The 15,598-nt window shown below is 37.4% G+C and overlaps 1 long non-coding RNA gene across 2 annotated transcripts in view, besides 3 other annotated features; it reads left to right on the plus strand.

Moving 5' to 3' along the window:
* LOC107986066 (uncharacterized) overlaps positions 1 to 15,310 on the plus strand; it is a 116,751-nt gene extending 101,441 nt beyond the window's left edge. The window contains exons 2-3 of one of the 2 annotated variants that reach the window (XR_001740613.2): positions 8,372 to 8,487; positions 11,287 to 15,310. This is a non-coding gene — a long non-coding RNA (uncharacterized LOC107986066). The remainder of the gene's footprint in view (positions 1 to 8,371; positions 8,488 to 11,286) is intronic. The other variant, XR_001740614.2, reaches the window with a different exon arrangement.
* Positions 5,802 to 6,363: an enhancer, noted in NCBI's record as "H3K27ac hESC enhancer chr3:19114887-19115448 (GRCh37/hg19 assembly coordinates)". NCBI's record gives its function as "activates a minimal SCP1, AML or CMV promoter by ChIP-STARR-seq in primed H9 embryonic stem cells {active_cell/tissue: H9 hESC(primed)}" and the evidence as "EXISTENCE:reporter gene assay evidence [ECO:0000049][PMID:30033119]".
* Positions 6,364 to 6,925: an enhancer, noted in NCBI's record as "OCT4-NANOG-H3K27ac hESC enhancer chr3:19115449-19116010 (GRCh37/hg19 assembly coordinates)". NCBI's record gives its function as "activates a minimal SCP1, AML or CMV promoter by ChIP-STARR-seq in primed H9 embryonic stem cells {active_cell/tissue: H9 hESC(primed)}" and the evidence as "EXISTENCE:reporter gene assay evidence [ECO:0000049][PMID:30033119]".
* Positions 6,926 to 7,487: an enhancer, noted in NCBI's record as "OCT4-NANOG-H3K27ac-H3K4me1 hESC enhancer chr3:19116011-19116572 (GRCh37/hg19 assembly coordinates)". NCBI's record gives its function as "activates a minimal SCP1, AML or CMV promoter by ChIP-STARR-seq in naive and primed H9 embryonic stem cells {active_cell/tissue: H9 hESC(naive and primed)}" and the evidence as "EXISTENCE:reporter gene assay evidence [ECO:0000049][PMID:30033119]".
* Positions 15,311 to 15,598: the final 288 nt, after the last annotated feature.

A 15,598-nucleotide genomic window follows, 5' to 3' on the forward strand; every position in this document is an offset into this window, starting at 1 on the left:
AGAATCGAGTCCAGTTCTATGAAAATTTTAACATGAATCTGTTTGAAAGTCAAGTTTTGTCTATAATTTTGAAAGATGAAAGATGTAACAAAGTAAGGATTTCTCTTCTGGAGATGAGGATGAGATAGGGGTCTCCAGGTACCATAATCAAGAGCAGAGGTGGTCCGGGTGTGGTGACTTACACCTCTAATCTCACAACTTTGGAAAGCTAAGGTGGGAGGACATGTGGTGAATTCTAGAGAAAGTGTTTGAATTCAGTTGTCTTTCATTGATGTCCAGTATACTCTTATTGACTGCAATTACAAAAGAATGCCTGTACATTTTCTCAGTTTTAAAACTAAGCCACCTTTAGTCCAGGAGTTTGAATCTCCATATCTGGGGAGGGACCTGCTGGGAGGTGATTGGATCATGGAGGCAACTTCCACCATGCCGTTCTCATGATAGTGAGTGAGTTCTCATGAGATCTGATGGCTTAAAAGTGTGTGGCAGTCCCCACCTCACTCTCTGTCCTGCTGCCATGTAAGACATGCCTTGCTTCCCCATTACCTTCTTCCATGATTGTAAGTTTCCTGAGTCCTCCATAGCCATGAAGAACTGTGCAGAAACCTCTAACCAATCTCAGGTAGTTCTTTATTGCAGTGTGAAAATGGACTAACACAGAAAATTGGTACCAGGAGAGTGGGACACTCTTATAAAGTCACCTGAAAATGTGGACACAAATTTGGAACTGGGTAACAGGCAGAGGTTGGAAAATTTTGGAGGGCTCAGAGGAAGACAGGGAGACGTGGGAAAGCTCGAAACTTCCTAGAAACTTGTTGAATGGTTTTGATCAAAATGCTGAGAGTAATGTGAACAATGAAGTCCAGGCTGAGGTGGCCACAGATGGAGATGAGGAACTTATTGGGAACTGGAGTAAAGGTCACTGTTGCTATGCTTTAGCAAAGAGACTGGCAGCATTTTGCCCCTGCCCTACAGATCTATGGAACTTTGAACTTGAGAGAAATGATTTAGGGTATCTGGCAGAAGAAATTTCTAAGATGCAAAGTATTCAAAATTAACCTGGCTGTTCCTAACTTCACACAGTTATATGCATTCACAAATAGATGGTGTGAAATTGGAACTTGTGTTTTCAAGGGAAGCAAAGTGTAAAAGTTTGGAATATTTGTATCCTGACCATGTGGTAGAAAAGAAAAACCCATTTTCTGGGGAGAAATTCAAGCTGATGGCTGCAGAAATTTTGCATAAGTAAAGAGAAGACAAATGTTAATTGCCAAGACAATGGGGAAAATATCTCCAGAGCATGTTGAAGACCTTTGCAGCAGACCTTCCCATCATAGGCCCTGAGGCCTAGGAGGGAAATGTAATTTAATGGGTTGGGCCCAAGGCACCCCTGTTTTGTGCAGCCTTGACACAGGGAACCTTGTGTCCCAGCCACTCCAGCTCCAGCCATGGCTAAAAAGGGGCCACGGTGCAGCCCAGGCCATGGCTTCCGAGGGTGCAAGCCCCAAGCCTTGGCAGCTTCCACACAGTGTTTGACCTGCCACTGCACAGAAGGCAAGAATTTGGGAGCCTCCACCTAGATTTCAGAGGATGTATGAAAACACCTGGATGTCCAGGAAGATGTCTGCAGCAGGGGCGGAGACCTCATGGAGGACCTCTACTAGGTCAGTGCAGATAGGAAATGTGGAGTTGGAGCCACACACAAAGTCCCTGCTGGGGCGCTGCCTAGTGTAGCTGTGAGAAGAGGGCCACCATCCTACAGACCCCAGCAGCCAGTGACAGCTTGCACCATGTGCCTGGAAAAGCAACAGATACTCATTGCCAGACTTTCTTGAGTAATACAACATCTAACAGAGTCCAGAAAGACAGATATATTCCTGGCATCCCATGGGCAATGGGGTTGGAAATTCAGAAAAAAACATGAGGCACAATTTGTCCCTGCTCCATCATGTCTGGAGCATACTCTAGGAAGGCTTTGAGGGGCATCTCAATGTTTGAGGCTAAAATCGTCTTCTCATCCAAATGCCAGGCAGTGATTTTGGCTGTTGGCTGAGACCTAAGCTGGGGCTGTCAAATAAAACACCTGCATATGCATTGTCTCCATGTGATCTCTGCTTCTGTGTAGCATGGTGGCTGGATGCCAAGAGAAAATGCCCTGAAAGATAGCCAGTTGGAAGCTGTCAACTTTCATAAATTTGTCTCAGATTTCACATTGTATCACATCTACTGTAGTCACAAATTTGCCCAGATTCAAGGGGAGAGAATATAAATCTCCCTTCTAATATTGGAGGAATATTAGAGTCACATTGTATGAAGCCCATGTGCTTTGGGAGAGAATGTGGTGATCATTGGAAAATGTAATCTGCCACATCCAGTCAACAGAATTCCCTTTCTCACACTTAGTATTATTTATATGCTTTGTAAAGTAAACTCAGAATTAATATAATACAAATATAATTTGATTGATCATATTTTGGGTACATTATTTATTTGGTTGTGTTCTATGCAAACAAGCCATATACTGGGATAAGAAGCAAAGTCCTTTTTTGAAAGTGGATATGGTACTTATGAACTGAACCATATAATGTGATTACAAATCCTGACCTGCTTTCAATAATTTTGATGTATTGAATATGTCTAGAATAACCTTATATGTCTATTCAGATATTTAAAATATTGTATTATACTCTATAATTAATTTTATAATGTAAGGATACATATTTGAAAAATTCTGTTAAATTGTTTTTTTTTTTTTCCTAAATGGTTGTGGTAGGGGAATAACATTCTGTTTTTTCCCTAAAGACCAGTATGGAATACATAATTATGTAGTGGTAAAATATAATTCAATTACAGAGAATTTGAGTCATAAACTGGATGTACTCCATATCTCTGAGTGATTCATTATTTGCTCCATGCACAGTTCCCTAATTAAGGAAAAGAATTTCCTCTTGGGATTGGATTAAGTCCTGTTAAAGGTATGACTCAAAAATCAAAATATGGGTAGACTTAACACTCTGTATTGCCTTATTTGACATCAGTAAATGACAATTCTCCTCTTTGAGGAAATAAACCAATGATCACGGTTAAAAGACAAGACAAGTCTGAAGAAAACTTTTAAACAAATAAATTTAGGTCAGTTGTGTAGAATGATAGTAAGCTAGTAAAGCAAGGGACATAAAAAGGCCAGCATTACCATTTTACCAAAACCAGACAAAGATACTACAAGTAAAGAAAATTGCAGATCAATATATCTCATGAACATACATGAAAAATCCTTGACAAAAAATTTAAAAATTGAATCCAACAATGTATAAAAATAATTATACCTCATTACCAAATGGCATTTATTCCAGGTATGCAAGGCTGGTTCTACATTTTAAAATCAATTAATATAATTAATCACATCAACAGCCTATAAAAGAAAAATCACATAACTATCAAAAGATGCAGAAAAGATATTTGGCAAAATTCAACACCTATTCATAATTTAAAAAAAAAACTCAGCATGCTTACCTAATTTGATTACTATACATCGTGTCAAAACATCACTATGTATACAATAAATGTGTACAATTACAACATGTCAATTAAAAATATGTCACTGTGTTTAGGGGAGGAAAAGGCCAGTTTGGGCTAAGGTGATCAAGAAAAGCTTTAGGGAAAGACAATACCTGAACTGGATCCTATAAAATTTTAAGACGAAAGCAGACCAATCAGAGAGCTAGTACATTCCAAGCAAGTTTAGAAACATAGATTTGAGCTCAAACTGTGAGAAGATTTATTTTCTTCAATTTAGAACACTTTATTAATTAAAATATTTTATTACATTAAAAAAACTATCAGCAAACGGTAAATAGAGCAGAACTCCCTAACCTTGAAAAATAACATCTACCCTAAACCTACTGGTTACATTATACCTACTAATAAGAAATTAGAAAATGCCTTCTCTTGCTACTTATTTTACCATTGTACTAGAAGTCCTAGTTGATGCAATCAGACAAGCAATAAAGTAAAAAGTATACGGATTGGGAAGAAAAAGATATAACTGTGTTCAATGACATGATTGTGTATGTATAAAATTTGAAAGAATGGACAAAATTCCTGGAGGTGATAAGAAATTATAGCACAGTTGCAGGATGCAAGGTTAATGTACAAAAGTCAATGACTTTCCTATATGCTAGCAATGAACAAGTGGAATTTTAAATAAAAAACACAATATCATTTACATTAACACTAAAGAAATTAAATTATTAGGCATAAGCTTAACAAAATATGTACAAGACCTATATGAGGAAAACTACTGATTAAAAAAAAACAGAAAATAAAAACTAAATAAATGGAGAGAGATTCCATGGTCATGGACAGAAAGATTCAATATTGTGAAGATGTCATCAGCTCTTCCCAACCTGATCTATACATTCACTACAATCTGAATTGAAATCCCAGAAAAAGTTATTTTGTGGATATTGACAAACATTCTAAAGTTTATATGGAGAGGCAAAAGATGCAGAGGAGCCAGCATAAAGAACAAAGTCAGAGGACTAATACAACCTGACCTCAACTAATACTGTAAAGCTACAGTATCCAGGACACTGTAGTACTGGCAAGGGTATACATAGATCAACCAATAGAACAGAATAATTCATCAATAGACAAATATAGTTAAGTGATGTTTGACAAAGTAGCAAAGGCAGTACAATGGAAAAAAATTGTCTTTCAACAAATGGTCTTGCAACAACTAGATATCTATATGCAAAATAATGAATGTAGATCCAGACCTTACACTTTTCACAAAAATTAACAAAGTAAATAATTATCCTAAATGTAGAACACAAAATTATACAACTCTTAGAAGATAACATCTGAGAAAATATACGTGTCCTTGGGTATAAAGCTAATATGTTAGATCCAATGCCAAAAGTATGACCTGTGAAAGAAAGAATTGGTAAGTGAAACTCCATTAAAATTAAAAACTTATATTGTGTAAAAAACACTATCAAAACAATGAGAAGACAAGCAACAGACTGGGAGAAAGTATTTGCAAAAGATGTATCTGATAAATGACTGTTATTGAAAATATATGAAGTACAATTAAAACTCAATAAGAAAATGAACAACACAATTAAAAATGGACAAAAGATATGAAACAGACTTCTTACCAATGAAGATAAACTGATGACAAATAAGCACAAAAAAATGCTTGACATCATATGTCATTAGGAAATTGCAAATTAAAACAATGAGATACCACTACACACCTGTTAGAATGACCAAAATCACAACATAGATAACACAAAATGCTGGTGAGGATTTGCAGTAACAAAAGCTCTCATTCATTGCTGGTGAAAATGAAAAATGGCACAACCATTTTGAAAATGAAAAATGGTACAACCACTTTGAAAGACAGTTTGGCAGTTTTTACAAAACTAAACATATTCTTAACATATAGTTCAACAATTGTGTTCCTTGGTATTTACTCAATGATTTGAATATTTATATTCATATGAAAACCTGTGCATAAGTGTTTATAGCAGCTTTATTCATAATAGCTACAACACAAAAGCAACCAAAATGTCCTTCAGTAGGCAAATGGATTAATAAACTGTGGTATATGCAACAATGGAATTATTCAGTGTTAAAAAAGAAAGGAGTTATTGATATGGTTTGGATGTTTGTCCACTATAAATTGCATATTTAAATATAATCTCCAGTATTAGAGGTGGGGCCTGTGGTGGGTGTTTGAATCGTAGGGCAGATCTCTTTTGAATGGCTTAGCACTACCCCCTTGGTGATGAGTGAGTTCTTGCTCTATGTTCATGTGAGATCTGGTTGTTTAAAAGTATGTGGCACATCCTCTTCTCTCTCTTGCTCCCTCTCTCTTGGTTTAGCTCTCGCCATGTAATAGTTTCACTATCTAACCCTGCCCAAGTCTCATGTTGAAATGCAATTCCCAATGTTGGGGGTGGGGCCTGGTGGGAGGTGACTGGATTATGAGGGCAGAGTTCCCATGAATGAAGTAAGTTCTCATGAGATCTAGTCATTTTAATGTGTGTGGCAACTCCCCTCCCCTCACTCTCTTGCTCCTGCTTTTGCCATGTGACATGCCAGCTCCCCCTTTGCCTTCTGCCATGAGTGTAAGCTTCCTGAGTCCTTATAAGCAGATACCTCATGTCATGATTCCTGTATAGCCTGCAAAACTGTGAATCAATTAAATCACTTTTCTTCATAAATTATGCAGTCTCCAACGTAGCAATGCAAGAATGGCCTAACGCACCATGTGATGTGTCTGCTCCCCTTTCACCTTCCTGCAGTAACTGTAAGCTTCTATGACTGTAAATTTCCTCATCAGAAACAGATGCTGGCACCATGCTTCTTGTACAGCCTGCAGAACCATGAGCCAATTAAACTTCTTTTCTTCATAAGTTACCTAACCTCAGGAATTCCTTTATAGTAATGCAAAAATGGTCTAGTACAGAATATTGGTCCTGAGGAGTGGGGCATTGCTCTAAAGAGAAGTGAAAATGTGAAAGCAGGTTTGGAACTTGGTAACAGGCAGAGGCTGAAAGAGTTTGGAGGGCTCAGAAGAGGACAGGAAAATGAGGGAAAATTCGGAACTTCTTAGAAACTGGTTAAATGGTTGTGATCAAAATGCTAATAGAAATATGGACAGTGAAGTCCAGGCTGAACAGGTCTTAGATGGAAATGAAGAAGTTATTGGAAACTGGAGTAAAAGTCACCCATGTTATGCCTTAGCAAAAAGCTTGGATGCATTGTGCACATGTTCTAGGGATCTGTGGATACTTGAACATAAGAGTGATGACTCAGGGTAACTGCCAGAAGAAATTTCTAAGCAGCAGAGCATTTAAGAGGTGGTCTGGCTACTTTTAACAACCTATGATCAGATATGGAAGCAAAGAAATGACCTAAAGTTGGCACTTATATTTAAAAGGGAAGTAAAGTGTAAAAGGGAAGTAAAGTGTAAGTTTGGGAAATTTGTAGCCTTGCCATATGGCAGGAAAAGAATCCAAGCAGGCTGTAGAGTAACCACTTACTAGAGAGATTAGCATGACTAAAAGGGAGCCAAGTGCTAATATCCAGGACAATGGGGAAAAGGCCTTGAAGGCATTTCAGAAATCTTAGAGACAGATGCTCTCAGCTCTCATCACAAGTCCAAAGGCAGAGAAGGAAAGAATAATTACAGGCGCCAGGCCCAGGGCCTCATTGCCCTGGTCAGCCTCAGGACACGGCTCCCAAGATCCTGGCAGCTCCAGATCCAGCAGTGGCTCAAAGAGCTACAAGTACAGCTCAGGCTGCCACTCTGGTGGACATATATCATAAGTCTTGGTACGTTCCACTGTGTGTTAAATCTGCAGGCATATAGAATGCAAGTGTGAAGGAGGCTTTGAAACTTCCTCCTAGATTTTAAAGGTTGTTTGAGAAAGCCTGGGTGCCCAGGAAGAAGCCTGCCACAGGGGCAGAGCCTTTACAGAGAATCTCCACAGGGCAGTGCAGAGGGTAAATGTGGGGTTGGAGCTCCAACACAGAGTCCCCACAAGGGCGTTGCCTCATGGAGGTGTTGAAGGGAGCCACCACCCTCCAGGCCCCAGAATGGTAGGGCCACAGGAAGCTTGCATCCTGAGCCTAGAAAAGCTGTAGGAACTCAGCTCCAACTCATGAAAGCACCCATGGGTGCTGCACCTTACAAAGTCACAGCTGCAGAGCTGTCCAAGACCTCGGGAGCCCACTCCTTGCACCACTCCATGTACTGGATGTGGGACATGAAGCCAAAGAAGACTATTTTGAAATTTTAAGATTTAGTGGCTGCCCTGCTGGGCTCTAGTCTTGCATGAAGCCCATAGTCCCCTTCTTTTGACCAATTTCTTTCTTTTGGAATGGATATGTCTACTCAATGCCTGTACTGCTATTGTATCTTGGAAACAAATAACTTAGTTTTGATTTCATAGGCTCATAGTTGGAAGGAACTCCATCTCCAGATGAGACTTTGGACTTTGCACCTTGCCATCTTTGAGTCAGGACTGGAACAATTTAAGACTTCTGGGGACTGTTGGGAAGGCACTATTGTATTTTGCAATATGAAAAGTACATGTGATTCGGCAGGTGGGGAGGGGCTAAGTAATATGGTTTGGATGTTTGTTGTCTCCAAATTTCATGTTAAAATGTAATACCTGGCATTGGAGGTGGGACCCAGTGGAAAGTGTTTTGGTCATGGGAGTAGATCCCTCATGAAAGGCTTAGTGCCATGCCCTTGGTGCACGAGTGAGTTCTTGCTCTGTGTTCACATGAGATCTGGTTATTTTAAAGGGTGTGGAACCTTCTCACTTTCTCTCTTGCTCCCTCTTTCTTGCTCCAGCTCCTGCCATGTTACATGCCTGCTCTCCATCTGCCTTCCAACATGATTGGAAGCTTTCCGATGCCCTCACCAGAAGCAAATGCTGGTGCCGTGCTTTCTGTACTGCCTGCAGAACTGTGAGTCAATTAAACCTCTCTTCTTTAAACATTACTCAGTCTCAGATATTTCTTTATAGTTATGCAAAAATGGCCTAATACAGCTATCAACCACGGAAAGACAGAGAGTAACTTTAAATGCATTACTACTAAGCGAAAGAAAAGAATGCGAATAGGCTACATACTGTATGATTCCAACTACGTGATGTTGTGGAAAAGGCAAAACTATAGAGACTGTGAAAAAAAGATCAGTGGTTGCCAGGGCTTGAGGGAAGAGAGAAATGAATAGAAAAAGCACAGAGGATTTTTTAGGACATAGAAACTAATCTGTGTTACTACAATGGTAAATACATGTAATTATACATCTGTCTAAACTCATGGAATATAGAACACCAAGAGTGAACCCTAGTATAAACTATGGAATTTGGATGGTAATGACATAGCAATGTAGGTTCATCAGGTGTAACAAATGTACCATTCTGATAAGGGATGTTGATAGTGGAGGAGGCTGTGGGTGTGTGGGGGGCAAGTAATATATGGAAACTGTGCCTTTTGCTTAATTTTGCTGTAAGCCTAAAATGGCTTTTAAAATAAAGTCTATTAAAAGTAAAACAAACAAACAAACAAAAAAACAAAAAAACAGACTACAGCAGTATAGATAGTAACATAATCTTACTAGAGTATTTATCCTATTTTGTATTAAAGGGAAATTGTTGTACTCCCATGAATGGGCACACCATAGTCAACCTATTGGTGGTAAACCTAGAAATTAATTTGAAGTCTTCTAACCTCAGGTTTTGGTAGCAGTAGGGTATGTTAAATCTAGTGTCCAAAGCCAGGGAGCTTTTTTTTTTACTAATTTTTGACTCAGAGCTGGATGTGGGGTAGATTCATGGTTTGGGCAATGCCAGCTCCTCTTCAACGTCATTCTCTAAGTCATAATTTCCAAGTATGCTGACAGACCCCGTTCATGGGAGCCTTTGTATAGTAAAGTTGGCTTGGTAAATGACACAGAAACAGGTATGCTTATCTCATGGAAAAGATCTCTACCACAACAATCTCCCCATAATATGATGTTTTTTTCCTTGAACCCGCAAGGAACATGCATAATTTGATTAGTACACATGGTAAATGTAGCTTAATATTGGGCATTTGAAACCTAATATTCCATTTCCTTGAAAAAAGTGTCTTCGGTATGTCTGTGGTACCTTACAGGAAGAAAGAGCTTGAAACGAAAAGGGCTAGTAATTCTTACAAAGAGCATTTTCATTGTATAAAAAAATAGCTTTAGATTTCTGTGTTCATTATTACTTATGACTTCGAAAATATCACTTGAGAGCAAAGACATTTCATACGTAGATATTATATTTTAAATATTTCTATAAAATCCAATGGCACATATAAATAACCCATAAGCAATATATAGAAATAGACAGCATCACCAATTTGATTGATGCTAAGGAAGAATACTGATTTGGAATTTGGCTGGCTGAGCCACACATTATTCTCATTTCCAACTGGGACATTTAATAGCCCTTATTGTCACTGGAAAATTGCATCCTTTTTGAATGACTAGAGAATGAGCTTGAGTCTTTTCAATCAGGATTCAGGAAGATGCTAATGTATTCTCTTGAGCACAGAAAGAATATATTTTTCTGGGGTCCAAACGATCAGGCTTCCCTTTTGCTAGCTGTAATTTTATGAAGGTATTTTACTCAAACTAACTTTTCTTGACTGTGGCTTTATGATCTTGGGGGTAACACAAGCGATCTCTCATCTTCATTGTACTACAAGGAAATAGGCAGTCTAATGTGAGTCAAAGAAGTACAATTACTTGTAAAAGGGAGAGGAAAAACCATTGTTCCCTTTTCCCCAGTGGAACCCCCGCCTTGGCACAATTCTGGGATTGCTTCCCACCTCCCTGGCCACTGCCCCTGTGGGTTGCTCTGACTGATCTAGTTTGGTCTCCTCATGAAAGCAGCCCTAAGCTTTGAGAATAGGTTTATGGCTATTTTATCTTTTTTTAATTAAAAATTCATTCAGTTTCAAAAAAAAAATCTTCTGATTAATCCCCTTCTGACATAATTTTCTGAAGCCTATATCAGTAGACTTAAATAAAATGACACATGTATTTATCACATAGTTTATGAAGCACCCTCACATATTGTCTCCTTGCCAGTGGCCCATTATCTCCATTTATCTTTTACAGGGGAGGGCTCAAGTTCTAAGAGGTCTAACTCAAGGCCACAGGGAAACAAATTGCAGAGCCAGCACAGGAGACTTTGTTCTCCAACTTCTTGTAATTGGTTCTCAAATTTGAGCATGCATTAGAATCGCCTGGGGGACCTGTTATTAAAACACAGATTTCTAAGCCCCACAAGCAGAGTTCTTGATTCAGTAATTCTTTGATGGAACCAAGCATTGCATTTCAAACAAATTCTCAGGTGATGCTGTTGCTGCTGATCTGGGAACTACACTTTGAGATCCACTGGTCTAGAACACACTGTAAGTGTTAGTCTCATGTTCCTTACACCAGACCAAGAACAATTTCATGAAATAAAAACAAGTATGTAATACAAAGGACAGGATAATATTATAAAAATATCTTCAGACCCATGGCCTCCCTTCTTCTGACCCCTTACCAAAGAAGTTCAGAGTTTATCATCATTGCTGTCTTACTGTAATGCCCTGAGGTTGAAGTGGTAATAGCCTGATGGTATGGAGAGAGGAGACTCTGTGGTCTTTGTGTTAGCAAAATGTGTTTCCAGAGTATGATCATTTTCATCTTTTCTGGTGATTCATCACATGCTGCTCTCTCAGCAGGCTTTCGGCATTTGGCATCCACAGGAAACTCCAGCTTGACTTAAGGAGTGAGGTAAGTCTTATTTTCAGCAAGGAAATATTCACCATTGCTAAATTAGTTTGGATTTGCTTTAGATTTAAACATGGGTTTATTTTAAAAGACACTGAGGCCAAAGGAAAAACAAACAGCCCTGCATGTGTTGGGGAAGCACTGTCTTATTGACAGAGAAGCTGGCTAGCTGAAATCAAATGTTTTTCAGAACAAAGATATTATGGTCTTAAGATTTCACTTGAATTTAAATTCTAGAATATTCTAACAATAATGAGCATTTAATATGTGCTAGATTTTTAAAAATTTTACTTTAAATTCTGGGATACATGTGCAAAACATGCAGTTTGTTACATAGGTATACATGTGCAGTTTCTGTGGCATTCCTAGCAAACCTAAGAAGGAGGATTTTAAATATCTCCATTTTATTTATGAGAAAACCAAGGCCAAAAGAGATGAGGTGATCTACCTAAGATCACGTAGCTTATTAAGAGGAGGGATTTGAACCCAAACTTAGTCTGGATTCTGTGTTTGGGCTTACAACCATTATTCACTAAATGACCCATGATATCTGAAAAGAATCCATAGGGAAAGAAGAAGCAAGAATGAGACTAAGCCCAAGTGTAATGCTTTCCCAGGACTGAGCCAGCAAAATGTAATAATTTTCCATCTTAATTCCTTTGACTTACAACTGGGAACCAGTATTCTGGGTCCAAGACAGACAACCTCAAACCTTGGATGACTCATGGATACTTTTAGCTCATCTAGGTAAATTGCCTTAACAACAACAACAACAACAACAACAAGCAACAACAATAATAAATTAGTGAGTAGTAATGGGAAAGAAAACTAAATGAAATAATTTGATTCAGATACATAGAAAATTAAGGAAGAAAACAATTCTGTTTCACCTGATAGGTCCTAATTTAATCTAGTATCAAGGTCTGGTATCAATCATTTCTCTCTCAAAAGCAAAAATAATAAGACTTTTTTTTGTTACATGAGTCATTTTGTGAAACTAATTAACTTCCTGTGGAACACAATGCTCTCCCATTATTTTTTGGCCGAACTATCAGGTGGTTAACTCCTTTATTTATTTCTTCTTTTTAAAAAATTGTCTACCAAACTAAAGTTGAGAAAGAGGAGAGGGAGGGTCAGAGGGTGTCACAATTGTTACCCTTCTCAACATTCATATTATTACTTGGTTACCAAAGACCTCAGCTTGAAATGAAGGAATATTAGCTCAAGTTATGGACTCTTTGCTGCTTTCAAATTGTTTTTAACTATGCAATTGTCAAACTTTCTTAGGAGTTTCTGGAGTTCTTCATTTAGTGCTGAGAAAATAAATAACTTTAATTGATATATCAATTTAAATTTATGAGGAGTTTCATATATATTATTCAGTTTGATTCTTGTAACAATTCATGACCTAACTCATGTGGGTACTATACTTCTTATTTTTCAAATGCAGAAACTAATACCCAGGGAAACGCATGTGGAAAAACTTTTATTTAGTAAATGACAAAATTCAGATTTGAATCCCAGCTTTAAAACAATAAAATTTTAGTTCTTTTTAGTTTTTGTACTATAATGTAATACCAGATTATATAAAATAACCTTATTATAGTTTTTCTTGTAATCACCATTGAAAACAGTTTACGTATGTATTTTAAAGGAAAACACAATCCATTTTTTCCCAAGCAAGTTATTAATATTTGAGGAATGTGGAAACTCAAATAAAAGTTCTGTTTTAAATTTTGGAAAGTAATTTCAATACAAAGTCTTTAAATTACAAAAAAAACTTTGAAAATCATTGATAAACTATTTTGAAAGTGTTATATTTGTAATTTGTTGACAAGTGCTAATTTTCCATTTCAAAGATATGATTAAAAACAAAATGAAGTTCAGTTTCCAGTTCTGCATGCTTGGAAGTTGCCACTCTGTCCAAACAATAGGTAAAAATAAGTAAAAAGCTAAATAAACTAAAAAATAAATAAATAGAAACAACTTAGATACTTCACAGAAGCAAAGTCACAGGGTAAATCTGCTATCTCCCAAACTGGAAATACGGGCAGATAGAGAGACTCTCCATATACCAGAGAACAAATCTCCCCAGGAATCATTGCTGAAGTAGAAAAACCTGAGCTATAATTGACAAATTCCTGGAGGCTAACTGTGGACAAGTCTGAGAGTTAAAAACTTCAGGCGGACCTAGTCATAGGAGGGTACTGACATGTTTGTGAGTTTTATCACCAGGTTCTCACAGAAAACATCAGAAAGAAATACTTCCATGCTTCCAGCAAGGGAGAAGGGAAAGGATCCATTCTGAATTAAGCGCACCCTGTTCTTAATAAGGTCTGTCCTCAAAAGAAACCAGTTAACCACAGAGCCTAATTTCCTAGGGAAAACCCAGCTGACTTGGGAGAAGAAAAATACCCAACTGAAGCCTACTTTAGCCATTTTGTTCCACTTAAGGTTTGGGGAAAGGATGGAGAAGCATGTGTAAAGTTCACAGTCCAGAGAGACAAACTCACTAAAAGACTGAAACCTACTTGTAGAACTATATAATCCTTCCCTTCCCACACACCTCACCACCACATTACTAAAGACCTATTTACAGCAGTCGCTTTGATCCAATACATTAGGTTTGACTATCAAGAAAAAATTCAAGGCAAACTAAAAGGCAAAAAACATTATGAAAAGACAGTGAAAGCATCAGAACCAGACATGGCAGGGAATTTAGGATTATCAGGAAATTTTAAAACATTATTAATATGGTAAGAGCACTAACGGGTAAAGGAGACTACATGCAAGAACAGATGGGCAATGTAAGCAGAGAAATTGCAATTCTGAGAAAGTACCAAAAGAAAATGCTGGACACAAGAAAACACTAACAAAAATAAAGAATGCCTTTGATGAGCTTTTTAGTAGACTAGACATGGCGGAGAAAAAGGTCTCTGAACTTGAGACTATATTAATAGAAACTTTCAAATCTGGAAAGCAAAGAGGACAAAGATTGGGCGGGGTGGAGAGGTGGGGACAGAGGGAGAATAAAATATCCACAAACTGTGGAACAACTACAAAAAGTATAACTTACATGTAGTGGAAATACTAGAAGAAAAAGGAAAACAACAGAATATTTGAGACAATAATAACTGAGAATTTTTCCGGATTAATATCAGACACCAAACCACAGATTCAGGATGTACACAGAACACCAAGGAAGATAAATGACAAAAACAAACAAACAACAACAAAAAACTACACTTAAGCATGCCATTTTCAAACTACAGAAAATCAAAGATTTTTTTTCTAAATCCTGAAAGAAGCCAGAGGGGGATAAAACAGCTAATTTTATTGCTTTTAGTTTGTGTGTGTGTGTGTGTGTGTAGATATATAGTAGGTGTATATATTTATGGGGTACATGAAATATCTTGATACAGGCATACAATGTGCAATAATCACATCAGGGTAAATGGGGTATTCATTACCTGAAGCATTTATCCCTTCTTTACGTTACAAACAATCCAATTATACTCTTTTAGTTATTTTTAAATGTAAAATAAATTATTGTTGACGGGAGTCACTCTGTTGTGCTATAAAATACTAGATGTTATTAATTCTACCTAATTGTATTTTTGTGCACATTAACCATTGTCTCTTCCCCTAGTCACTATACTTTCTAGCATCTGGTAACCATTGTTCTATTCTCTATCTCCATGAGTTCAATCGTTTTAATTTTATTTCTCACAAATAAGTGAGAACATGAAAAGTTTGTCTTTCTGTGCCTGGCTTATTTTGCTTAAAGTAATGGCCTCCAGTTCCATCCATGTTGCAAACGACAAGACCTCATTCATTATTATGGCTGAATAGTACTCAACTGTGAATATGCTCCACATTTTATTTACCTGTTTGTCTGTTGATGAACATGTACATTGCTTCCAAAGCTTAGCCATTGTGAATAATGCTGCAATAAACGTGAGTGTGCAGATATCTGTTTGATATACTGATTTCTTTTCTTTGGGGTATAGACCTAGCAACGGGATTGCTGAATCATATAACTCTATTTTTAGTATTTTTTTTGCAAGTTCCAAACTAAAAAACAGCTAATTTTATAGAGAAACAAAAAAGAAATACATCTGATTTCTCTTTGGAGACCAAGCAAGCAATAAGAAAGTAGAGTGAAATATTTGAATTATTGGGGAAAGAAAAACCCACCAACCTAGAATTCTGTACCCTGTGAAATTATCCTTCAAAAATGAAGGAGAAATAGACTTTGGC

Source organism: Homo sapiens, chromosome 3 (genome assembly GCF_000001405.40).
Source record: "Homo sapiens chromosome 3, GRCh38.p14 Primary Assembly".
In the NCBI taxonomy this organism is placed as follows: domain Eukaryota; kingdom Metazoa; phylum Chordata; class Mammalia; order Primates; family Hominidae; genus Homo; species Homo sapiens.